General features: G+C 45.2%; 1 long non-coding RNA gene across 7 annotated transcripts in view, besides 2 other annotated features; it reads left to right on the forward strand.

Annotated features, from left to right (window-relative positions):
* Positions 1–26682, forward strand: part of LINC02901 (long intergenic non-protein coding RNA 2901) — a 40540-nt gene that overhangs the window by 1818 nt on the left and 12040 nt on the right. For 3 of the 7 annotated variants that reach the window (NR_160980.1, NR_160978.1, NR_160981.1), the window contains exon 2: positions 23590–23735. This is a non-coding gene — a long non-coding RNA (long intergenic non-protein coding RNA 2901). Of the gene's footprint in view, positions 1–1896; positions 1991–16845; positions 17061–23589; positions 23736–26682 lie in introns of those variants that run through there. The other 4 variants (NR_160977.1, NR_160982.1, NR_160979.1 and 1 more) reach the window with 4 other exon arrangements.
* Positions 15172–15372: a silencer, noted in NCBI's record as "peak6275 fragment used in MPRA reporter construct". NCBI's record gives its function as "represses an SCP1 promoter by STARR-seq MPRAs in K562 erythroleukemia cells {active_cell/tissue: K562}" and the evidence as "EXISTENCE:reporter gene assay evidence [ECO:0000049][PMID:32103011]".
* Positions 22322–23022: an enhancer, noted in NCBI's record as "H3K27ac-H3K4me1 hESC enhancer chr6:159314985-159315685 (GRCh37/hg19 assembly coordinates)". NCBI's record gives its function as "activates a minimal SCP1, AML or CMV promoter by ChIP-STARR-seq in naive and primed H9 embryonic stem cells {active_cell/tissue: H9 hESC(naive and primed)}" and the evidence as "EXISTENCE:reporter gene assay evidence [ECO:0000049][PMID:30033119]".

Here is a 26682-nt window from a genome sequence, read left to right on the forward strand (position 1 = left end):
TGTCTGTAAGATTCCTCCATGTTATCACACGTATCAGTAGTTTGAAGTTTGTTTATTACTGAATAGTATTCTATTGCATGAATATACTTAAGTTAACTTATCCTTTTTACCATTGATGTGTATGTGGGTTGTTTTCAGTTTTTGGCTATTATGCATAAAGCTGCTCTGAACATTCATGTAGTATGATGAATAATTGATTTTAGTAGGATATATACCTATAAAAGGAATTTTTGTGTCATAGGATGATAGGTGTATATTTAGTTTTAGTAGACACTGCTGGCAGTTTCCCAAAAGGATTGAATCAATTTTTGAAAATTGGCTGGCCGCAGCAGCTCACGCCTGTAATCCCAGCACTTTGGGAGGCCGAGGCAGGTGGATCACGAGGTCAGGAGTTCGAGACCAGCCTGGCCAATATGGTGATTCTCCATCTCTACTAAAAAAAAAAAAAAAAAAAAAAAATTAGCTGGGCATGGTGGCGTACGCCTGTAGTCCCAGCTACTTGGGAGGCGTAGGCAGAAGACTCTCCTGAGCTCAGGAGGCAGAGGTTGCAGTGAGCTGGGATCATGCCAATGCACTCCAGCCTGGGTGACAGAGCGAGACTACATCTCAAAAAAAAAAAAAAAAAAAAAAAAAAGGACTGGTCGAGGTGGCTCACGCCTGTGATCCCAGCACTTTGGGAGTCCAAGGCAGACAGATCACCTGAGGTTGGAAGTTCGAGACCAGTCTGACCAACATGGAGAAACCGCGTCTCTACTAAAAATACAAAATTAGCTGGCCATGGTGGCGCATGCCTGTAATCCCAGCTAGCTACTCGGGAGGCTGGGGCAGGAGAATCGCTTGAACCTGGGAAGTGGAGGTTGCGGTAAGCCGAGATCATGCCATTGCACTCCATCCAGCCTGGGCAACAAGAGTGAAACTCCATCTCAAAAAAAAAAAAAAAGAAAAGAAGAAAAGAAAATTATAGTTACTTCACATCCTTGCCAACAATTGGTGTTAACAGTCTTAAATTTTTGATGGTTATGCAGCAGTATTTCCTAGTGGTTTTTTTTTTTTTTTTTTTTGAGACAGAATTCTGTCACCCAGGCTGGAGTGCAATGGCACGATATTGGCTCACTGCAACCTCTGCCTCCCGGGTTCAAGCAATTCTCCTGTCTCAGCCTCCTGAGAAGCTGGGATTACCGGCATGCGCCACCATACCCGGCTAATTTTTGTATTTTTAGTAGAGACGGGGTTTCACCGTGTTGGCAAAGCTGGTTTTGAACTCCTAACCTCAGGTGATCTGCTCACCTCGGCCTCCCAAAGTGCTGGGATTACAGACGTGAGCCACCGCACACGGCCAAAATCAGGTTGTTTTCTTACCATTGAATTTTGAGAGTTCTTTAAATATTCTGGATACAAGTTCTTTATTAAAAAGACTCCCTTCCATTGACTTTGCACCTGCCACTTTGTGAAACGTCAGTTGGCCATATTTGTGTGAATTTATTTCTGGACCATTTGTTCTGTTTCATTGATCTGTGTCTATCCCTTCACCAACACGACACTGTCTTGATTGCTGTAGCTTTAAAGTAAGTCTTAGCGCCCTCCAACTTTGTTCTTTTTCCTGATTACTTGGGTATTTTACTTCATTTGACTTTCCATATGTATTTTAGGCTTGTCTATATGTTTTAACAATCCTGCTGGGAATTTTGTTCTTTTTTTGTTTGTTTTGTTTTGTTTTTCAGACAGAGTCTCAGTCTGTAGCCCCGATGGAGTGCAGTGGTGCCATCATAGCTCACTGTAACCTCAAACTCCTGGGCTCAGGGGATCTTTCTGCCTCAGCCTCCTGAGTAGCTAGGATCACAGGTGTGCATCACCACACCTGGCTAATTAAAAAAAAATTTTTTTTTTTTTTGGTAGAGACGGAGGTCTCGCTATGTTGCCCATACTGGTCTCAAAATTCCTGGCCTCGAGTGATCCTCCTGTCTCAGTCCCTGAAATGCTGGGATTACAGGTGAGCCACTGTGCCCCACCACGTGGGGGATTTTGGTTGTATTTGTGTTAAATCTATAGATCAATTGGAGGAGAATTGACAACTGTATTGAGTCTTCCAGTCTGTGAATATAGTATGTCTTTACATTTATTTAGATTGTTTTATTTCTTTCATCAGCATTTTGTGGTGTTCATATATAGATCCTTTACGTGGTTTGTTAGATTTATGCAGACTATTTTTCAAAGCCACTGTGATTTAAAAAATTTGGTTTCCGGATATTCATTACTATTATAAAGAAATATAGTTGGTTTTCATGTGTTAACCTTGTATCCTGCAATCTCACTAAACTGACATTGGTTTTAGAAGGTTTTTATGGAATCCATGAGATTTTTTACACAGGCAATCATGTTTGTGAATAGGTACTAGGGACAGTTGCGTTTTCTCCTTTCCAATCTGTATGACTTTCATTAAATTTTATTTCCCTGTTTGACAAGATAGGTCTTCCCGTGCAATGTTGAGTAGGAGGGGTGAGGTGGAGTTCCTTGCCTTGTTCCTGATCTTAGAGGGAAAGAAGCATTACGTCTTTCACAGTGTGTTTAGTTATAGGCTTTTTTGTAGGTGTGCTTTATCGGTTTAGAGAGCTCTGTTCGATTCCTCATTTGCCGACTGCTTGTACCGTGAATTGATGTTGAATATTGTCGGTTGATGTGGTCTTGTTGCAGATTACATTTTCATTGATTTTCAAATATTGCATCTCGGGAATAAACCCCGGATCATGGTGTGTAATTTTTTTTTATGTATTACTGTTTCAATTTGTTAGTATTTTGCATCTGTGTTGATGAGGGATATTGATTCATGAGGATCTTTTTTTTTTTTTTTGTATTTTCTTTATCTGGTTTTAGTATCATGATGATGCTCATCTCATAAAATGAGTTAGGAAGCATTCCTTCCACTTCTGTTTTCTGGAAGAAACTATGTAGAGCTCATGTTATATCTTTCTAAAATCTTTGGTACTATTTGCTGATGAAACCATTTGGGGCTGCAGATTTCTGTTAAGGAAGATTTTCAACTAGAAATTCAATTTTTTTAATAGATAAAGGATTTATTTAGGTTTTTAATTTATTCTTGGATGAGTTTTGGTAGCTCGTGGCCATCAAAGAATTGATCCACTTTATGTAAGTTGTCAAATTTATGTGTGCACAGTTGTTTGTGTAATTTATTACCCTTTTAGAGTCTGTGGGGTGCTCAGTGATAGCCTATCCTTCATTCCTAATTATTGGTTTTGATTTTTTAAAATTAATTTCCTATTTTCAATTCCAATGATTTCTGTTCTAATTTTTATTATTATTTTCCTCTTATTCTGCTTGCTTTAGGCTTATATTCTTTTCTTTTTATAGTTTTCTAAGGTGGAAGCTTGGATTATTGATACTAAATCTTTCTTCTTTTTTTTGAGACAGAGCCTTGCTCTTGTCGCTCAGACTGGAGTGCAATGGCACAATCTTGGCTCACTGCAACCTCCACCTCCCAGGTTCAAGTGATTCTCCTGCCTCAGCCTCCTAAGCAGCTGGGATTACAGGTGCCTGCCACCACTCCTGGCTAATTTTTTATTTTTAGTAGAGACGGGGTTTTGCCATGTTGGCCAGGCTGGTCTCTAACTCCTGACCTCATGATCCACCCGCCTTGGCCTCCCAAAGTGCTGGGATTATAGGCATGAGCCACCGCGCCTGGCCTCTTCTTTTCTAATATATGCATTAAGTGCTAAAAATGTCCATCGAAGCATTGCTTTTACTATATCCCACAAGATTTGGTAAGTTGTATTTTCATTTTTATTTGGTTCAAAACAATTAAAAATTTCTCTTGAGACTTTTTATTTTACACAGGTGTTATTTAGAAATACGCTGTTTATTCTCTAAATATTTTCAGCATTTTTAGCTCTCTGTTACTACCTTTCAAAAATTATTTATGTAGTTTTAATTTTTCACTTTTTAGTTTTAATTCCACTGTTGTCTAACAGCAACTTTGTATTATTTCTGTTCTTTTAAATTTGTTGAGGTATGTTTTCTGGCTAGGATATGATCTAGGTTGGTGAATGTTCCACGTGATCTTGGGAAGAGTGTGTATTCTGATGTTGATGGATGAAGTAGTCTACAGATGTCAGTTCGATCCAGTTGATTGATTGATGCTGTTTGGTTTAACTATATCTGGACTGCCTACTGAATCTGTCAGTTACTGACAGAGGAGTGTTGAAGTCTCCAACCATAATATTTGATTTGTCTATTTCTCCCTGGATTTTTTTTTTTTTTTTTTGAGATGGAGTCTCGCTCTGTCTCCAGGGTAGAGTGCAGTGGCACGATCTTGGCTCACTGCAACCTCCACCTCCCGGGTTCAAGCAGTTCTCCTGCTTCAGCCTCCTGAGCAGCTGGGACTACAGGCTACCACACCTGGCTAATTTTTGTACTTTTAGTAGAGACGGGGTTTCACCATGTTGGCCAGAATGGTCTCAATCTCTTGACCTCGTGATCCGCCCGCCTCAGCCTCCCAAAGTGCTGGGATTACAGGCGTGAGCCACCACGCCTGGCCTTTTTTTTTATATGTATATTTTAAGATGGAGTCTTGCTCTGTCTGTGCACCCAGGCTGGAGTACAAATGATGTGATCTCGGCTCACTGCAACCTCTGCCTCCCAGGTTCAAGCAGTTCCTCTGCCTCAGCCTCCCAAGTAGCTGGGATTACAGGCACCCACCATCACACCTTGCTAATTTTTGTATTTTTAGTAGAGACGGGGTTTCACCATGTTGGCCAGGCTGGTCTTGAACTCCTGACCTCAAGTGATCCTCCTGCCCTGGTCTCCCAAAATGTTGGGATTACGGGCATGAGCCACTGCTCCTGGTCCTTTTTTTTTTTTTTTTTTTTTTTTTTTTAACAAGAGTCTTGCTCTGCCACCCAGGCTGGAGTGCAGTGGCATGATCTTGGCTCACTGCAACCTCCGTCTCCCATGCTCAAGCGATTCTGCTGCCTTAGCCTCCTGAGTAGCTGGGACTATAGGCATGCGCCATCAGGCCTGGGTAATGTTTGTATTTTTAGTACAGATGGGATTTCACTATGCTGGCCAAGCTGGTCTCGAACGCCTGACCTCAGGTGATCCACCTGCCTCAGCCTCCCAAAGCGCTGGGACTACAGGCATGAGCCACCATGCCTGGCCATTTTTTTCTTCCTTTGATGTAAATTTTCCTTTCTTTATGTAGATCTGAGTTTCTGACCTATATAGTTTCCCTTTTTTCGAAAAACGTACCTTAGCATACCTTGTAAGGCAGTCTCCTGGCAACAAATTCCCCCAGTTTTTGTTTATCTGAGAAAGTCTTTATTTCCCCTTTTTTTGAAGGATAATTTCACTGGATACAGAATTCTAGGTTGGTGAGTTTTTGCTTTTTTCTTTTCAAAATATTTCATTCCACTGTCATCTTGCTTACATTGTTTCTGATGAGAAGTCTAATATAATTCTTATCTCTCTTCTGCACAAACAAGGTATTTTTATTCTGCTTTCTTTCTAGATATCCTCTTAGTCTTTGGTTTTCTGCAGTTTGAATGTGATGTGCCTAGCTAGAGATTTTTTGGTGTTTATCCTGCTTGGTGTTCTCTGATCTTCCTGGAGCCATGTTTAGATGTCTGTCATTAATTTTGGAAAATTCCTAGTGATTATTACTTTGAATATTTCTTTTGCTTATTTCTCTTTCTTCTTCTGCTATTCCCATTAAATGCATATTAGACCTTTTATAATTGTCCCACAGTAAGTGATAACTCTGTTTGAGCATTTCCTTCCTTCCTTCCTTCTCTCGCTCCCTCTCTCCCTTCCTCCCTCCCTCCCTCCTTCCTTCCTTTTTCTTTCTTTCTTTTTTTAATTTTTGAGACAGATTCCCGCTCTGTCGCCCAGGCTGGAGTGCAGTGGTGCGATCTCAGCTCACTGGCTCACTGCAACCTCCGCCTGCCAGGTTCAAGCGATTCTCCTGCCTCAGCCTCCTGGGTAGCTGGGATTACAGGTGCCTGCCACCACGCCCGGCTAATTTTTGTATCTTTAGTAGACATGGGGTTTCACCATGTTGGCCAAACTGGTCTCGAACTCCTGAACTCAGTTGATCTGCCTGCCTCAGCCTCCCAAAGTGCTGGGATTATAGGTGTGAGCCATGGCCCCTGGCCCTGTTTGAACACTTTCATTCTCTTTTTTGTTTTTCTCATGTTTCAGTTTGGGAAGTTTCTGTTGACGTATCTCACAGCCCACTGAATCTTTCTTCAGGCACATATAACCTACTGATGATACCATAAAGGCATTTTTCATTTCTCTCACAATGTTTTTAATTTCTAGGATTTTCTTTTGATTCATTCTTTTAGTTTCCATCTTTCTCATTATTTCCCTTCTATTCTTGCATGTCATCTGCCTTTTCCCTTATATCCTCATTATTTTAAATTCCCTACCTGATAATTCCAAAGTTTGTGCCACATCTAAGTCAGAGTCTAATGCATAGTTTGTTCTTCAGACTGTTTTTCTTGTATGTTAGCATCCTTGTAATTTTTTGTTCAAAGTCAGACATGATGTATCAGGCAATAGGAACTGAGATGATTAGGCTTTCAATGTGAGGATTTACGTTAATTTGGCCAGGAGCAGACCTGTGTTTAACGTTTGCTGTACCTGTAGTGCCAGATGCTTCCTCTACTTTCCTTTTTCTTTTTTTTGAGACAGAGTCTCGCTCTGTCACCCAGGCTAGAGTGCAGTGGCGCGATCTTGGCTCACTGCAAGCTCCGCCTCCTGGGTTCACGCCATTCTCCTGTCTCAGCCTCCCAAGTAGCTGGGACTACAGGCGCTCGCCACCACGCCCTGCTAATTTTTTGTATTTTCAGTAGAGACGGGGTTTCACCATGTTAGCCAGGATGGTTTCTAACTCCTGACCTCATGATCTGCCCGCCTTGGCCTTCCAAAGTGCTGGGATTACAGGCGTGAGCCACCGCGCCAGGCCTAGTTTCCTTTTTCTTGTCTTTGGGTTACCCTAAAACCTCCTTCTTCAATGGAGTCTGTGCTTTACACCTCTCTCAGTTGCAATCCTGTTTCCTGTTGTTACGCAGGAACCCTGTTGATGTGATAATTTGAGGGAGAGGAGGTGCTCTCTAACCATCTGATTAAATCTCAGCTTTTTAATGGCTCTGAAACCTCTAAAGGTGGACTGTGACCTTCAGAAGCTGTTCTTAGCCTTTTTTTTCTCTTTCTTTACCTGATACAGGAAGGCTAGAGGGGCTGGAGTTGGTTAATTGCCATTCCTCCAAATGAGATAAGACTCAGGTAAAATAGTTTCCCTTAGAAGGCAGGCCTTTGTTATAGAGAACTGAGTGTTTTTCAAAATGTTTACTTTCCCCCTGGATGTATTTTTAAATGGTTACTTTTCCTTTTCCCCTGCCTGAAACCCTGGTGAGGCTCCTGGAAATAAAGCCCATGAAAGTGTGGGGCCCCTCTAAGACTAGGCCCTCAGGACAGCTTAACCAGAAGTTCTGTTGTTTACGTTTAAATATTAGCTAGTTATCTTTCTCTTATGATTTTGATTTTGTAACCGCCCAAGGGGTTCACATTGCCTGCTGCCTAGACAGAGCCGATTGATCAAGACAGGGGAATTGCAATAGAGAATGAGTAATTCATGCAGAGCCGACTGTGCGGTACACCAGAGTTTTATTGTTACTCAAATCAGTCTCCCCCAGCATTCTGGGAGCAGAGTTTCTAAGGACAGCTTGGTGGATGGGGGAAGCCAGTGAGCCGGGGGTGCTGATTGGTCAGGGGTAAAATCACAGGGAGTCAAAGCTGTCTTCTTGCTCTGAGTCAGTTCCTTGGTGGGAACCACAAGATCAGATGAGCCAGTTAATCCATCTGGGTGGTGTCAGCTGATCCATCAAGTGCAGGGTCTGCAAATATCTCAAGCACTGATCTTAGGAGCTGTTTAGGGAGGGTCAGAATCTTGTAGCCTCCAGCCACATGACTCCTAAACCATAATTTCTAATCCTGTGGCTAATGTTAGTCCTACAAAGGCAGTCTAGTCCCCAGGCAAGAAGGAGGTCTGCTTTGGGAAAGGGCTGTTATAGTCTTTGTTTTAAACTATAAACTAAACTTCTCCAAAAGTTGGTTTGGCCTATGCCCAGGAATGAACAAGGACAACTTGGAGGTTAGAAGCAAGATGGAGTCGGTTAAATTAGATCTCTTTCACTGTCTCGGTCATAATTTTGCAAAGGTGGTTTCAATCTCCACTGTGATTGTAGAACTTTTTTTTTTTTTTTTTTTTTTGAGACGGAGTCTCGCTCTGTCACCCAGCCTGGAGTGCAGTGGCACAATCTCGGCTCACTGCAAGCTCTGCCTCCCAGGTTCATGCCATTCTTCTGCCTCAGCCTCCCGAGTAGCTGGGACTACAGGCGCCTGCCACCATGCCCGGCTAATTTTTTGTATTTTTAGTAGAGACGGGGTTTCACCATGTTAGCCAGGATGGTCTCGATCTCCTGACCTTGTGATCTGCCCGCCTCAGCCTCCCAAAGTGCTGGGATTACAGGCGTGAGCCACCGCGCCCAGCCAGAACATATTTTGTATGATTTCAGTTCATATTCTCTATGACTTCAATTCAGTATTTGTGTGATTTCAGTTCAGTCATACAAACATATTTTGTATGATTTCAGTTTGTATTTTCAAAATACAAAATCATATTTTGTTTAATTTCAATGCATCTTTTCAATGTATCAAGGGAGGATCGCGTCTCACACGTCTGTGTGCGTGTGAAGAGACCACCAAACAGGCTTTGTGTAAGCAACAAGGCTGTTTATTTCACCTGGGTGCAGGTGGGCTGAGTCCGAAAAGAGAGTTAGCAAAGGGTGGTGGGATTATCATTGGTTCTTATAGGTTTTGGGATAGGTGGTGGAGTTAGGAGCAATGTTTTGCGGGCAGGGGTGGATTTCACAAAGTACATTCTCAAGGGTGGGGAGAATTACAAAGAACCTTCTTAAGGGTGGGGGAGATTACAAAGTACATTGATCAGTTAGGGTGGGGCAGAAACAAATCACAATGGTGGAATGTCATCAGTTAAGGCTATTTTCACCTCTTTTGTGGATCTTCAGTTGCTTCAGGCCATCTGGATGTACATATGCAGGTCACAAGGGATATGATGGCTTAGCTTGGGCTCAGGGGCCTGACATTCCTGTCTTCTTTTATTAATAAGAAAAGCAAAACAAAATAGTGAAGTGTTGAGGCGGTGAAAATTTTTGGGGGTGGTATGGAGAGATAATGGGCGATGTTTCTCAGGGCTGCTTCGAGTGGGATTAGGGGTGGCGTGGGAACCTACTATGGGAGAGATTCAACTGAAGAAAGATTTTGGGGTAAGGGGTGATATTGTGGGGTTGTTAAAAGGAGCATTTGTCGTATAGAATTATTGGTGATGGCCTGGATGTGGTTTTGTATGAAATGAGAAGCTAAACGAAAGACACAAGGTCCAAATAAAAGAAGGTGAAAAACAGGTATTAAAGGACTAAGAATTGGGAGTACCCAGGACATCCAATTACAGAGTGTCCAAGAGGGTTCAGTGTAATTATTTGCTTGGTTGGCGAGTTTTTGGGCTGTATCCTTGAGTTTTTTTTTATGTTGTCATATACCAGGCCAGACTGATTTAGGTAAAAACAACACTCTTCATTTAAAAATATACAGAGTCCTCCTTTTTCAGCAGTGAGTAAATAGAGGCCTTGGAGGTTCTGAGGACAACTACAGCTAAAAGAGTCAATCTGTGCTTGGAGAACAGATGAAGTTTGTGATATATCTGTAATGCTAGCAGAGAAGTCATTAGAGAGGCTGTGGAATGTTGTGGCAGTGGTTGAGATGCCTGCTATTCCAGTTCCAAGTGCAATAGTGGAGGCAGAAAGTCCTAGACCCACAAGCAAAGGGATTAGTGGGATGACTCTTTCTTGTCGTGTTGATGTCATGAGGGGGACAGGCAGTAGTTTGTTCCCATCTGCAAACTGGATTTTGGGGGTAAGGAAGACTAGAGTGCATGTGCCTGTCCAGTTGGGAGGTAGGCACATGTAGGTGGAAGAGCCACATAAAAAGAAGAGACCTTGTGTCAGGCAGAACTGGAAATGTAAAGTGAAAAGGTGAGAGGGTGTACTGAAAGAGGAATCCTGCACCCCAAATCCTAGAGATCCAGCAAGGGCAGCAGCCGTTAGAGGTTGTAATGGGGGTTGATGGTGCGACTGCGTAAAGGGAGGGGTTCGGTTCTCATGGTGTATGAGAAAGCGCATAGTGTCTACAAGTAACCTTTCACTGCTATTCATGGGGCTGGGTATAAGCAAGCAAGAGGAGGGGCTAGGAGGAGATTCAGACGAGCAGGGGGAGGGTAGCCCAGGATGGAGTGAGATGCAGGGTATGTGTCTTCCTAAACAATAGTGACTGCCAATGTGTTTTAGTTTGTCAGTAATGGGCTTATCAGTAATGTGAAGTTGGAATGCTCCCATCTGTTTGGTTATGTGTGTGGCTGGGTTCTGGAGATAAAGAGTAAAGGAACATTTGGACAGAAGAAGGTTGCCTAAAGGGATTCCAGCAGGCTGTTGTCGGGAGAAGCATAAAGGAGTGGCAACAGGGATGGTTGTTTGTGTGGTCAGGGGTCCAAATATGGGGTGGGGGTGGAATTGACATAAGGAGAAAGGTGCCGTAAGTAGATGCGGAGAAGTGTGGCAGCTTGTTGGTGTGAAATGTCTGGGGAGTTCTCACCAAATCTGTCTAGAAAGTAAAGAATTTCCTCAGGCAGGTATAGATGAGGGCTATTAAAGGAGGTTCTGAGGTGCAGGGAGATGGAACAGGTAGCCAAGTTGGCCTGTAGAGCGGGGATGGCTGTGTAAAAGCAGGAAGAGGCCGGGCGCGGTAGCTCACGCCTGGAATCCCAGCACTTTGGGAGGCTGAGGCGGGTGGATCATGAGGTCAGGAGATCGAGACCATCCTGGCTAACACGGTGAAACCCCATCTCTACTAAAAATACAAAAAATTGGCCGGGCGTGGTAGCAGGCACCTGCAGTCCCAGCTACTTGGGAGGCTGAGGCAGGAGAATGGCATGAACCTGGGAGGCGGAGCTTGCAGTGAGCCAAGATTGCTGCCACTGCACTCCAGCCTGGGCGACAGAGCGAGACTCCGCTTCAAAAAAAAAAAAAAAAAAGCAGGAAGAAAGGGAAATGCATAGCCAACAATTCTTTGCTAGAGGAGGATTGGAGGATTGAAGGCAGTGAGAAGAGAGTGGGTGAGATTGATAGTGTGCTGGAGATGCTGGAGGTAACTAGGGAGGGGTAGAGAGTGGCATAAGAATGGGAATGAGAATAAGAGGGAGTATAAAAGCAAAGAATAGAACTTCATCAGGGTGGAAGTATTGGAGTGTGCCCTGCCACCAAAGATCATCTACCTGCTCCAAGAGGGAGTCAAGAGTGGTGGTTTGGGGATAGCACCAGGAGATAACAGCTGTGATGGCTTGGAGAAACAGTGTAAACCGGCAGTGTAAACAAGAGCAGGTCATTTATGAGTAGTTGAGAATACAGTAGGGATGACAAGTTTTTGGGGCACAGTCCAAATAGTGGGGGTGACTGCACAAAGCTCTGTTGCAAAGGGTAGGGTAAGGATGGATAGGCCTAATAGAATGAAGGGATGTATTAGGCTCATAAGGGTTATTATTGTTCTTCAGAAATGTGAGTGAGTTTAAGGGAAGTAGGGGAGAGTACTTGCGACTTCCAGGAGGAAGAGGATATATCAGGCTGTCTGGCTGACGGACACAGCTTTATTCTGGAATGGTGAACCCAATGGGGAGGGTCCTGCAGGCGGATCGTGGTTGGGGTACTATAGATGACTAAGTAGGGTCCAGTCCATCGAGGTTGTAGAGTTTGAGGGGTCAGATTCTTAACAAGAACTGATCATCCAGCTAGGGTGTCTTCATATGGCTGGGAATCTGGAGTAGGCAAGAGAAGATTAGCAGCCTGGTGAATTTCCTGTCTAGCCTGTTGGAGGACTGGAAGATAGTCACCTAGAGGGCTGGTGTCTGGGACGAGGTTGGGGCCGAGTAAGAAAGTGCGTCCATATAAAAGTTCAAATGGACTGTACCCTGTAGCATCTTGAGGACAGGCTCTAATTCTGAGAAGGGCAAGAGATAAAAGTACTGTACAGTCCTTTTTAAGTTGGAGGCTAAGCTTAGTGAGGCATGTCTTTAAAAGACCATTAGTCTGTTCTACCTTTCCTGAAGATTGGGGATGGTAAGGGGTATGAAGGTTCCACTGAATACCAAGAGCCTGAGAAACTGCTTGGGTGATTTGACTAATAAAGGCCGGTCCGTTATCGAACTGTATAGAGGTGGGAAGGCCAAACCGAGGAATTATGTCTGACAAAAGGGAAGAAATGACCGCGGTGGCCTCTCAGATCCTGTGGGAAAGGCCTCTACCCATCCAGTGAAAGTGTCTACCCAGACCAAGAGGTATTTTAGTTTCCTGACTTGGGGCATGTGAGTAAAGTCAATTTGCCAGTCCTGGGCAGGGCAAATCCTCGAGCTTGATGTGTAGGGAAGGGAGGGGTCTGAACAACCCCTGAGGGGTAGTTGAGTAGCAGATGGAACACTGAGAAGTGATTTCCTTGAGGATAGATTTCCACGATGGAAAGGAAATGAGAGGTTCTAAGAGGCAGGCTAGTGGCTTGTAACCTACATGGAAGAGGTTATGAAATGACGACAGAATAGAATGGGCCTGTGAGGCTGGAAGGAGATATTTTTCTTGGTCGAAGAACCATTCGCCTTGTGTGGGAAGAGATTGATAGGTGGAAACTTCAGTAGGAGAGTAAATAGGAGTGACCAATGAGAAGGAGAAAAACTGGCCATGAGGGACAGAAATTGGAATGCTAGCTGCTTCTTTAGCTGCCTTATCAGCATAAGCATTGCCCTGAGCAATGGGATCTGATGCCTTTTGATGGCCCTTGCAGTGTATGACTCCAGTTTCCTTTGGAAGTAAAGTGGCCTTGAGAAGAGTTTTTATTAAAGAGGCATTAATGATGGAAGACCCTTGCGTAGTAAAGAAACCTCTTTCAGCCTGTATAACAGCATGGTGGTGCAGGATCTGGAAGGCATATTTAGAGTCAGTATAAATATTGTCACGTAATTCCTTTGCAAGAGTGAGGGCTCAAGTTAAGGCAATGAGTTCGGCTTGCTGAGAGATAGTGGAGGGGCAGAGCGGTAGCCTCAACGATAGATGTGGAAGATACTATAGCATAGCCTGCCTTTGCTGGTGAGTGGCAATTAGGCCTGGTGGAACTGCCATTAATAAACCAAATGTGATCAGGGTGAGGAACAGGAAAGAAGGAAATATGGGGAAATGGGGTGAATGTCAGGTGGATCAGAGAGATATAGTCATGGGGGTCAGGTGTGGTATCAGGAATAACATGGGAGGCCGGATTGAAGTCTGGGCTAGGAACAATGGTAACTGTGGGAGACTCGACAAAGAGTGAGTACAGCTGAAGGAGCCGGGGAGCAGAAAGTATACGTGTCAGGTGTGAGGAAGAAAATAGATTTTGGAAGTTATGAGAACTGTAGAGAGTGAGTTGAGCATAGTTTGTGATTTTGAGGGCCTCTAAAAGTATTAGGGTGGCGGCGGCCGCTGCACGGAGACATGATGGCCAGCCTAAAACAATAAGATCAAGTTGTTTGGGCAAAAAGGCTACAGGGCGGGTCCCGGCTCTTGTGTAAGAATTCTGGCCACACAGCCCTGTACTTTGGCTGTGTGTAATGAAAGGGTTGGGATGAGTTAGGGAGAGCTAGTGCGGGAGCAGCTTTTAGGGCTGTTTTTTAAGGAATGGAAAGGGGAGTGGGGAAAGGATTTAGGATTTATGGGGTCAGCCAGGTTTATCTAGAACAGAAGGTGTTGTGGAGGGAGGTACTGAGGATAGGAGAGTATATGGGTTTGGCACCATGGGGTGGATAGGCAAGGCAATTTCATTGATAAGGCGCAGATCCTGAACTAACCTGTAAGACTTGTCTGGTTTTTGAACAGGTAAAATGGGAGAATTGTAAAGAGAGCTTATAGGTTGTAGAAGCCCATGCTGTAGCAGGCGAGTGATAACAGGTTTAATCCCCTTAAAGCCTGCTGTGGGATGGGATACTGGCATTGAGTGGGGTAAGGGTGATTAGGTTTTAATGGGATAGTAATGGGCGTGTGATCAGTTGCCAGGGAGGGAGTGGAGGTATCCCATACTTGTGGGTTAAGGTTGGGGGATACGAGAGGAAGACATGAAGGAGGCTTTGGGTTGGGAAGAAGGGTGGCAATGAGATGTGGCTGTAGTCCAGGAATAATCAGGGAAGCAGATAATTTGGTTAAAATGTCTTGGCCTAATAAGGGAACTGGGCAGGTGGGGATAACTGAAAAAAGAGTGCATAAAAGAATGTTGTCCAAGTTGGCACCAGAGTGGGGGAATTTTAAGAGGTTTTGAAGCTTCGCCGGCAATACCCACAACAGTTATGGGGGCAAGGGAAACAGGCCCTTGAAAAGAAGATAATGTGGAGTGGGTAGCCCCCATATTGATTAAACAGGGGACGGACGTACTCTCTTCTGTAAGTGTTACCGAGGCTTGGCGTCTGGGATGGTCCAGGGGGCTTCTGAGGCGATTGGGCAGCGTCAGTCTTCAGCTGCTAAGCCGAGGAGATCTGGGAAGGAGTCGGCCAAGGAACATTGGGTTTGGGCTCCAGGGGCTTTAGGAGTGGCAGTGATGTGAGTCGGACAGTCCGACCTCCAGTGGGGGCCCGCACAGACAGGGCATGGCTTAGGAGGAATCCCAGGCTGTGGGCATTCTGAGGCCCAGTGGCCAGGCTTTTGGCATTTGAAGCAAGGTCCACGAGGATGTTTTGAAGAACCCCTGGGAGCTGTGGCTTGGATGTCCTGAAGTTCTTGTATGCTGGAGACGTGGTTGTGGGTTGTCTTCCAGAGGAGTCAAGTAGCTGTAACTCAGAAATGTGTTGCTGTCTGGCTACCTCCTCTCTATTATTGTGCACCTTGAAGGCGAGGTTGATTAATTCCTGTTGTGGGATTTGAGGGCCGGGTTCCAATTTTTGAAGCTTTTTTCTCATGTCAGGAGCTGACTGGGTGATAAAACGTATATTGAGAATAAGGCGGCCTTCTGGCCCCTGTGGGTCTAGGGCGGTAAAGCGTCTAAGGGTAGCTGCCAAGCGGGCCATGACCTGGGCTGGGTTTTCGTCTTTACCTCGGGTAGTTTCCTTAAGTTCGTCATAATTACCAGCTTTGTAAGCTGCCTTTTTAAGCCCTTCAACTAGGCAGGAAACCATGTAATCTTGCCCAGCTGTACCTGGGGAATCTGCCTGATAGTTCCACTGGGGATCCTCTCGGGGAACTGCTCTAATGCCTTCCAGGAGGTCTGGCTCATGAAGCCGGCGGTTATCAGCACGAGACTGGGCTAGAGAAAAACTTTCCCGTTCATCTGGGGAGGGGTAGAAATTAGGATGACACTTCAGTCACTCCAGGTTAACTTGTAGGACAGAGTTAGATATCGGAATTCCTGTGCACATTTAGTGGGGTCTGATGAGAAAGAGCCTAAACGCTGGCTGATTTGGGAAAGGTCCGATAGAGAAAAAGGCATATGTACCCTGACTATGCCTTCAGCTCCAGCCACGTCTCTAAGAGGAAATTGTTGGGCAGGTGGGGGAGAGCTGGTCACAGAACGAAACCGTAAACTAGACCGGGTGTGGGGAGGGAGGTAATAGAAGGGTTATAGGGTGGGGGAGCAGAGGCTGAAGAAGAGTTGGAGGCTGATTAGCCTGGCGGGGAGCGAGCTGAGGAGGAGCAGTCTGGGGAGGAGGTGAGGGGTCAGATGGCTCAGTAGAAAAGAAAGATTCACAAGACTCAGTGATGCTTGGGGTTGAGACTTAAGGGATAGGCGGGAGGGAAAGAAGGAGGATTTGGGACTAGTCGCACTGGAAACAGACACTAGAGAGGGAACGAAGCGTGAGAAATGCCTGGATGTAAGGCACCTCAGATCATTTGCCCATTTTTCGACAAAAATTAGGTCTCGGATGGAGAAATCAAAAGTGCCATTTTCTGGCCATTTAGAACCATTATCGAGTTTGTATTGGGGCCAAGCGGTATTGCAGAAGAAAATAGGACGCTTAGATTTTAGGTCAGGTGAGAGTTGAAGAGGTTTTAAGTTCTTGAAAACACAGGCTAAGGGAGAAGAAGGAGGAATGGAGGGTGGAAGGTTGCCCATAGTGAAGGAGGCAAGTTTAAAGAGAAGTGTAGAGGCCGGGCGCGGTGGCTCACACCTGTAGTCCCAGCACTTTGGGAGGCTGAGGCAGGCGGATCCTGAGGTCAGGAGATTGAGACCATCCTGGCTAACACAGTGAAACCCCATCTCTACTAAAAATACAAAATAAAAATTAGTCAGGCATGGTGGTGGGTGCCTGTAGTCCCAGCTACTCGGGAGGCTGAGGCAGGAGAATGGCGTGAACCCGGGAGGCGGAGCTTGCAGTGAGCTGAGATGGAGCCACTGCACTCCAGCCTGGGCCACAGAGTGAGACTGCGTCTCAAAAAAAAAAAAAAAAGAGAGAGAAGGGTGGGAAGGGTAGAGACACGGAGAAGCGGGGTGGGGAGCAGCCCTGGGCTGCAATGTGGGTGAGCAGCCAAAGCAGGCATCCCTTCAGTTGACTTGCCACCAAGGGAATGTGGGTGAATGACCAAGGCAGGCATCCCTGCAGTGATCAGACACCAGTGGAATGTGGGTGAATAATCAGGCAGGCGTCCCCACAATGATTAAACACCAAGGGAAGGCTGTCTTCCCAAGTCCGTGACTGGCACCAGAGTTTTCGGTCCACCGATAAAATGTGTCTCCTTTGTCTCTACTAGAGGAGAAAAAGAACTGGAATTGGAAGGACAGGGGGATTGAAGCGTAGTGAGAGAGGCTGGAGAAGAGAGTGAAAAGACCGCTTACCCAATTTGAAATTGGTGAGATGTTCCTTGGGCTGGTTGGTCTGAGGACCTGAGGTCATAGGTGGATCTCTTCACGGAGTGAAGGTGAGGACAAGGGACTGGTCTCCTGAAGGAGTCCCTCTGACCCAGGTCTTTGGCACCAAATGTCTCACGCATTCGTGTGAAGAGACCACCAAACAGGCTTTGTGTGAGCAACAAGGCTGTTTATTTCACCTGGGTGCAGGCGGGCTGAGTCTGAAAAGAGAGTCTGCAAAGGGCGGTGGGATTATCATTGGTTCTTAGAGGTTTTGGGATGGGCGGTGGAGTTAGGAGCAATGTTTTGTGGGCAGGGGGTGGATCTCACAAAGAACATTCTCAAGGGTGGGGAGAATTACAAAGAACCTTCTTAAGGGTCGGGGAGATTATAAAGAACCTTCTTAAGGGTGGGGGAGATTACAAAGTACATTGATCAGTTAGGGTGGGGCAGAAACAAATCACAATTTTGGAATGTCATCAGTTAAGGCTATTTTCACCTCTTTTGTGGATCTTCAGTTGCTTCAGGCCATCTGGATGTATACGTGCAGGTGGCAGGGGATATGATGGCTTAGCTTGGGCTCAGAGGCCTGACAGGTGGGTGCAGTGGCTCATGCCTATAATCCCAGCAGTTTGGGAGGCTGAGGCGGTCAGATCACCTGAGGTCTGGAGTTCGAGACCAGCCTGGTCAACGTGGCAAAACCCTGTCTCTACTAAAAATGCAAAAAATAGCTGGGTGTAGTGGCACGCACCTGTAGTCCCAGCCAGTCAGGAGGCTGAGGCAGGAGAATTGCTTGAACCTGGGAGGCGGAGGTTGTAGTGAGCTGAGATCGTGCCACTGCACACCAGACTGGGTGACAGAGTGAAACTCCGTCTCAAAAAAGAAAAAAAAAAAAAAAAATTGGCCGGGCGCGGTGACTCAAAACTGTAATCCTAGCACTTTGGGAGGCCAAGGCGAGTGGATCACAAGGTCAGAAGATCGAGACCATCCTGGCCAACATGGTGAAATTCCATCTCTACTTAAAATACAAAAATTAGCTGGGCATGGTGGCTATGGTCTCTTTTGGTAAATACCAAATTTAGGAAGCATGTATTAGGTGAAATATTCTACAAATATCAATCAGATTAATTGGTTATGATATTTTTAGTTCTGTATCTTTGCTGATTTTCTGTTCTATTGATTACTGAGAGGAGGGTTAAGCTCTCCACTTATAATTGTGGATTTATCCATTTCTCATTTCAGTTTTATCAGTTTGTCTTCAGATTTTTTATTTTTATTTTTATTTAAGTTTTTGCTCTGTCACTCAGGCTGGAGTGCAGTGGTGTGATCACGACTCACTGTAGCCCTGACCTCTGGGGCTCAAGCCATCCTCTTACCTCAGCTTCCTGAGTAGCTGGGACCACAGGTGTCTGCCACCATGCCTGGCTAATTTTTTTTATTATTTGTAGAGACAGAGTCTCACTATGCTGCCCAGGTTGGTCTCGAACTCCTAGGCTCAAGCAATCCTCCTGCCTTGGCCTCCTAAATTGCTGGATTACAGTTGTGAGCCACTGTCCCCGGCCTTCTTCAGATGTTTTGAAGCTCTGTTAAGTGCACACACATTTAGGATGGCTTTGTCATCTTGGTGACCCTTTTATCATTTGCATGAACAGTGAAGGGTGTGGCATTTTACCCTGCTTGTAAGCTAATAAGTCAGTCTGCCAGTTTCATAGATGCTAACAAAAGACATAGATTGCGGGAACAATGACACAGGACCTTATCACCTACAAGAGCAGTGGCCATGGTAGTCACGTCTGCATCAGCTCCTTGAGCTTCATTTTCAAAAGGATGATGTGAAAGGGACCAGATGGCACCTGCACATGTCGGAGGATGCACTGTGGGACCGTGGGAGAGGATCTCTGAGGTTAGGAATCCACATCTTTAAGAATGGGAGATGGGCCGGGTGCAGTGGCTCACGCCTGTAATCCCAGCACTTTGGGAGTCCAAGGTGGGTGGATTACGAGGTCAGGAGTTCAAGATCATCCTGGCCAACAGGGTGAAACCCCGTCTCTACTAAAAAATACAAAAAATTAGCCAGGTGTGGTGGCGCATGCCTGTAGTCCTAGCTACTCAGGAGGCTGAGGCAGGAGAATCGCTTGAACCTGGGAGGCGGAGGTTGCAGTGACCCGAGATCATGCCACTACTGTACTCCAGCCTAGTGACAGAGCAAGACCCCGTCTCAAAAAAAAAAGGGAGCTGAGCCTTCCTGAGTTTTTCCCCAAAGGGAGAAGTTGTCTTTATTATGCTGGATGGAAAACAAACCCGCCCTTCGCTCCAGAGAGAGGCCTATTTCTATTTCCAGTGCTGTTGACTATATAGATATCCTTGAAAAGATACTCTAGATCCAAGGCAGTCATTGCCTCTGCTCATAAAACATTTAGAAATGTGAGAACTTTTGGAGAATATCTTTCAACAATAACATCTCTCTTTATCACTGGTCATTTCTTTTGCTCTGAAGTCTCCTTTGTCTGATATTAACATAGCTACTCCACTTTCTCTTGGTTAGTGTTTGTATGACATGTCTGTTTCCATCCTATTTTATTTATTTATTTATTTATTTATTTATTTATTTATTTTGAGACGGAGTCTCGCTCTGTCGCCAAGGCTGGAGTGCAGTGGCGCGGTCTCAGCTCACTGCAACTTCCGCCTCCCAGGTTCATGCCATTCTCCTGCCTCAGCCTCCCGAGTAGCTGGGACTACAGGCGCCCGCCGCCACATCCGGCTAATTTTGTTTTTGTATTTTTAGTAGAGACGGGGTTTCACCGTGTTAGCCAGGATGGTCTGGATCTCCTGACCTCGTGATACGCCCGCCTCGGCCTTCCAAAGTGCTGGGATACCAGGCGTGAGCCACCGCGCCCAGCCTCCATCCTTTTATTTTTAAACTCCCTGTATAATTATATTTAAGGTGGATTGTGTGTGTATTGTTTGGTTTTGTAGACAGCATATAGTTCGGTACTTTTTTTTTTAATTCACTCTGAAAATCTCTTTCACTTGGTATGTTTAGATCAGGGTCAGCAAACTATGTGGGTCGAATCTGGCCAGCTGCCTGTCTTGTAAATAAAGTTTTATTAAAACATAGCCATGCTCATTTATCTATTTTCTTTTTTGAGACGGAGTCTCACTTTGTTGCCCAGGCTGGAGTGCAGTGGCTCGATCTCGGCTCACTACACCCTCCGCCTCCTGGATTCAGGTGATTCTCCTGCCTCAGCCTCCTAAGTAGCTGGAATTACAGGTGCCCACCACCATGCCTGGCTAATTTTTGTATTTTTAGTAGAGATAGGGTTTGACCATGTTGGCCAGGCTGGTCTTGGACTACTGACCTCAAGTGATCGGCCTGCCTCGGCCTCCCAAAGTGTTGGGATTACAGACACCATGCCCGGCTCATTTATGTATTTTCTGTGGCTACTTTTCTGCTCCAAAAGCAGAGTTGTGTGGTTGCAACAGAGACCATATGGCTGACAAGTTCAAAAATATTTACTACCTGGACTTTTACTGACCCCTGGTTTATATCATTTACGTTGAATGTAGTTATTGATAGGTTTGGATTCAGATTTTTATTTCCTTTTCAGATTTTTATTTTATTTCTTTTCGGTTTATTTCCTCTAGTCTTTATTTCTTTATTATCCCTTTCCTGCCGTGGTTTAGATTATTTGAACATTTTTAGTTTTCCATCTGAATTGAACTCTAGAGTTTTAGTTATGTATGTATGTTTTAGTGGTTGCTCTAGAGATTACAATGTACATACTTAACATTTCCCAGTCTAATTAGAATTAGTATTTTGTCATGTCAAGTGGAATGTAGAAACCTTATCACCACGTAGATCTTTTTATTCTTCCTCCTTTGTGTTTGAATATCTCTATTCATTTAGGGCTTTCATTTCTCTCAGAAATGTTTTGCAATGTTTAGCATAGGGATTGGGCACATTTTTTTCTTAGGTTTTTTTTTTTTAAGGTATTATAATTTGTTCCTAGATATTTATATGTTTGATATTATACGTGGTATTAAAATTTTTTTCATTTAAAAAATTTTTTGAGGCCAGGCACTATGGATCATGCCTGTAATCCCGGTACTTTGGGAGGCCGAGGCAGGTGGATCATCTGAAGTCAGGAGTTCGAGACTAGCCTGGCCAACATGGTGAAACCCCTTCTCTACTGAAAATACAAAAATTAGCCGGGCGTGGTGGTGGGCACCTGTAATCCCAGCTACTTGGGAGGCTGAGGCAGGAGAATCGCTTGAACTCGGGAGGCGGAGGTTGCAGTGAGCTAAGATCGTGCCATTGCACTCTAGCCTGGATGACAAGAGCAAAACTATGTCTCAAAAAAAATTTTTTTTGTTGATATATGGTAATATTATTGATGTTTGTGTACTGACCTTGTAGCCTATGACTTTGCTGAATATATTTATTAATTCTCATTGTGGTTTATTTTATATTTTCTAAGTTTGTAGTCACGTTATTTACAAATAAATATACTTCTTCCTGTCCAATCTTTAGACCTTTCTTTTGTACAGGAGGAAAAATTGCTTCCTTCTTCATTTCTAGGTTCTGTGGCTGGTCTAAGAATTAATTATTATTATTATTATTTTTTGAGATGGAGTCTCGCTCTGTCGCCCAGGCTGGAGTGCAGTGGCAGCAATCTCGGCTCACTGCAAGCTCCGCCTCCCAGGTTCACGCCATTCTCCTTCCTCAGCCTCCCGAATAGCTGGGACTACAGGCGCCTGCCACCATGCCCGGCTAATTTTTTTTTTTGTATTTTTAGTAGAGACAGGGTTTCACCATGTTGGCCAGGATGGTCTCGATCTCCTGACCTCGTGATCTGCCTGCCTCGGCCTCCCAAAGTGCTGGGATTACAGGTGTGAGCCACCGTGCCTGGCCTCCTGTTTTTTTGTTTGTTTGTTTGTTTGTTTTTGAGACAGAGTTTCACTCTCGTTGCCCAGGCTGGAGTGCAATGGCGCTATCCCAGCTCACCGCAACCTCCACCTCCCGGGTTCAAGCAATTCTCCTGCCTCAGCCTCCCCACTAGCTGGGATTACAGGCATGTGCCACCATGCCCGGCTAATTTTGTATTTTTAGTAGAGACGAGGTTTCTCCATGTTGGTCAGGCTGGCCTCAAACTCCCGACCTCAGGTGATCCGCCTGCCTCGGCCTCCCAAAGTGCTGGGATTACAGGTATGAGCCACTGTGCCCCGCAATTTTTTTTTTTTCTTAATGGATAAGAGGTTTTTTTTCCCCTATTAACATCAATGTAATTCCTGTGTGTGTGTGAGAGATCTCAGAAAGGGAGAGAGAGTGCCAAGGTCTTGCTCTGTCACCCAGGATGGAGTGCAGTGGCACGATCTCAGCTCACTGCAACCTCTGCCTCCTGGGCTCAAGTGATCCTCCCAACTCAGCCGCCTGTGTAGCTGGGACTACAGGCATATGCCTAATTAATTTTTATATTTTTAGTAGAGACAAGGTTTTGCCATATTGTCCAGGCTGGTCTCGAACTCCTAGACTCAAGTAATCTGCCCACCTCGGCCTCCCAAGGTGCTGGGATTACAGGCATGAGCCACCACACCCAGCCTGGTTCCTCCCCTTTTAAACCATATAAAGTAACTTCTGGGTTTGCCATGGCATTTGTAAACTGTCATGGTGCCAGTGAGAGTGTCTTTTAGCATGCTAGTGCATTATAATTAATGTATAACAAGCACTGAGAGCAACTAGAGGTTTTGCAGTTTCTTTACGGCATCCTCAGAAAACAAGTCCTGCTGACCTCATACCTTAGGAATGCCATCTCTGCATTTCCAAAGGCGTCAGTGTAGTCTTTTGTAGGCTGCAGTCTTTTGTAGGCAAGGGATAGGCAGATGCTCCTAAACTATAAATGCCTGTGCGCGTATTAAAAACAGATACTTCTTTGGTGAGACTACTGAAAAAACAGTGCTCTTTGATCTGGACTATTGTAGACCTTCTCTTACCTAATACACTCCACCTGGGGAGATACATTCCTTCATCTGTTTTTTGTTAAAGGCTTTTAATAACTTTTAGTAAAACTACCCAATATATGCATGGAAGAAACCTGCAATTTCACCCCTAAATACATAAAAATAAATTTTTTAAAAAAGTTATTGAGGCCAGGTGTGGTAGCTCATGCCTGTAATTGTAGCACTTTGGGAGGCCAAGACAGGAGAATTGCTTGAGCCCAGGAGCTTGAGAGCAGCTTGGGCAACATGATGAGACCCCCGTCTCTACAAAAAAAAAAAAAAAAAAAAAATTAGCCAGGCATGGTGGCACGTGTCTGTGGTCCTAGCTACTCAGGAGGCTAAGGTGGGAGGATCACTTGAGCCCAGGAGGTCAAGGCTGCAGTGAGCTGTGATCATGTCACTGCATTCCAGCTTGAGTGAAAGAGCAAGACCCCCATCTCAAAAACAAAACAAAAAACTTTTGGTAATGAACTATAAACGACCCTAATAGGAAAAACACATTAAGTCATTACCAGCTTGTAACACCATTCTGTGACTTCATTGACACGTTATTATGTATTTGTCACTTAGCTTTCTAATGACCCTGCACAATTTTGTTGGCAGAACAGGTGGAGAGGTATGAAGAACGAGGAACACTGCCCGGGGAGTTTCTTCCTCTGCAAAATAAGGGAGTGTGTACTGAATTACCGTTTCCAGCTCCAACATCCAGGATTTCAGCACTACCTGCAGAGTAGTGGGAGGAGAGATAGGTAAGAAGTTAAAAAGAGACCTGATGGAATACGTGGCATCCTGGTACTGCTGGGGTCCATCCCCACACCTCATGCTCATGAGAGGGAGACAAGCTTCTTGGAGCTCCTCCTCATCTACAGGGCTCTCCTCACAGGGCCTGGAAGTTCTGCCCCAGCCCTGTGGGGATTTTCTAGAGTCATTTGCCTCTCTTTAAAGCCTTGGCAGAGGGAGCCGGTGTGGGGAAGGGGTGGTAACGTAGATGGCAATGCTTGTCAGAACATATTAGAGCCCTCTTCCACGCTCTGCAGCCCCTGGGCCTAGGGCTAGCATTATTCTCCCCTTTTATAGCCATCTGTTGATTTCACCTTATCTCGCACTAAGCAATGGGCTTCTTGTGGGCAGGTGCTCTCTCTCACCCATCTTATTTCTCTCTGGCTCTTTCACGGGGCCTGCTGCATGGTAAGCGCTCAGTGTTCAGTGAGTGAATGGACAGGAAGGGGCAGGGAAGTGAATCAAATCTCCTCAGGTTGAGACATCAGCACCATCTGTGATCCTTTCCTCATTTGGACCTTCACATGCAATTAGGCTCTAAAATCCAGTGAGTTTTTTTTTTTTTCTTTTTGACGGAGTCTTGCTGTTGCCCAGGTTGGAGTGCAGTGGCGTGATCCCAGCTCACTGCAACTTCCACCTCCCAAGTTCAAGTGATTCTCCTGCCTCAGCCTCCCGAGGAGCTGTGATTACAGGCGCCCACCACCATGCCTGGCTCCTTTTTATAGTTTTAGTAGAGATGGGGTTTCGTCATGTTGCCCAGGATGGTCTCGATCTCCTGACCTCAGGTGATCTGCCTGCCTCAGCCTCCCAAAGTGCTGGGATTACAGGCGTGAGCCACTGCGCCCGGTCCTAAAATCTGGTGATTTTTATTTCCCTGTGTCTGTTTCTACGGCTGCCTCCCTAAGTTCTTTCTCTGTTGGGTAGTGGGCTTCGGCCTAGCTTTCTCATCACCGCCACACCCTTCCTTACCCATCCTGTACAGACAGATAGATTTTTCTAATGTACATTTTCAGCATATCTCTGGGCTGCTCAGACCATTTCCTCAACTCGACACCCAAATTAATCAGCTCACTCTTCCATGTTTTACCATCCTATCCGTCCTTCTAATAAATACATCCTGAGCTTCTGGGGAGGAGGTCTCATCTCAGATTCTCTGCCCAAGCCAGATGGTTTCAACATAGTCCTGCCTCTGAGCCCTTATGCAAGCCATCTCCCTGCCTGTCCCAACTACTTGCTTCTATCCAGAGCTTGGTAAGCCCACTTCTCCCAGAGAAGCCTCCTGGGGTCATCCCAGGCCACTTCGAATTTTCTCTTTGGTAGCACTTGGTCACAGCAACCTTGGGCACCAAGCTGAGTATAGAATGGAGTCCAATCAATGTTGATATGATTTTTAAATGGTGGCGACAGTCATGTGCCATCTGAAGCAGGAATAGGGAAAGAGAAGCAGTGACTAGCCTATACAAATTAGCCAGGCGTGGTGGCAGGCGCCTGTAATCCCAGCTACTCAGGAGGCTGAGGCAGGAGAATCGCTTGAACCTGGGAGGTGGCGGTTGCAGTGAGGCGAGATTGAGCCACTGCACTCCAGCCTGGGTGACACAGCAAGACTCCATCTCAGAAAAAAAAACCACTCTGGGAGGCCAAGGCAGGTGGATCACGAGGTCAGTAGTTCAAGACCAACCTGGCCAACATGGTGAAACCCCGTCGCTACTAAAAATACAAAAATTAGCCGGGCACGGTGGCGGGCGCCTGTAATCCCAGCTACTCGGGAAGCTGAGGCAGAGAATTGCATGAACCCGGGAGGCGGAGGCCGCAATGAGCTGAGATCACGTCACTGCACTCTAGCCTAGGCAGCAGAGCCAGACTCCGACTGAAAAAAAAAGAGTCTACAGAGCCTTTCTTGGAAACTAGTGTGGAAAGAGAAGAGCAGCATGAAAAGCCGAGGCCCTGACAGCCTGATGTCCCGCTCCCTCCTTCACAGCTCTGTGCCCAGGGCCTGCCTGATGTGCAGTGCTGCAGAGAATCCAGCACACTCTGCTCATGTATGTGCCCGGGCATGTTTTCTTTCTTGGCTACCTCTTTAGTCATTTGTTATGTGTTATGAAGAAATAAACTCCCAGCAAAATAATGTCTTTTGCACAGTCTTAAAGTGATCCATTACCTAAGATCATCATAGATGATTGTGAATTGGGTTGACCTGAAATCACCTAAGACCAGGGCAGGTTGACCAGAGATGAAGATGGAACATGGTATGTTGGGAACTGTTGAGTACTGTGCCCTTCTTACTAGGGCATGTAGTTTAAGTACTGTGAAACTCAAAACATTTTATTTTTCTTATTGCAAAAGTGATACAGAATTGTTCTAAAGCGTTTAGAAAATACAGACAAGCAAAAATAAAAATCTGCCATAATTCCACCATATTCTAGAGTATATCTTTTATTCTTATTTATTTATTTATTTATTTGAGATGGAGTTTCATTTTTGTCACCCAGGCTGGAGTGCAATGGCATGATCTCGGCTCACTGCAACCTCCACCTCCTGGGCTCAAGCGATTCTCCTGCCTCAGCCTCCTGAGTAGCTGGGATTACAGGCACCTGCCACCATGCCCGGCTAATTTTTTGTATTTTTTTTAAGTAGAGATGGGGGTTTCGCCATGTTGGCCAGGCTGGTCTCCAACTCCTGACCTCAGGTAATCCAACCGCCTCAAAAAAAAAAAAAATTCAATATTATTATTGATAAGTAGGGATTTACTCCTACCATTTTGTTATTTGTTTTCTGGTTGTTTTGCCATCTTCTCTTCCTTCTTTCCTTCCTGTCTTTCTTTTAGTGCAGGTGATTTTCTCTGGTGATGTGCTTCATTTTTTTGCTTTTTACTTTTTGTATATCCATTGTATGTTTTTTGATTTGAAGTTACCATGA

This window comes from Homo sapiens, chromosome 6 (genome assembly GCF_000001405.40).
Source record: "Homo sapiens chromosome 6, GRCh38.p14 Primary Assembly".
NCBI lineage: Eukaryota > Metazoa > Chordata > Mammalia > Primates > Hominidae > Homo > Homo sapiens.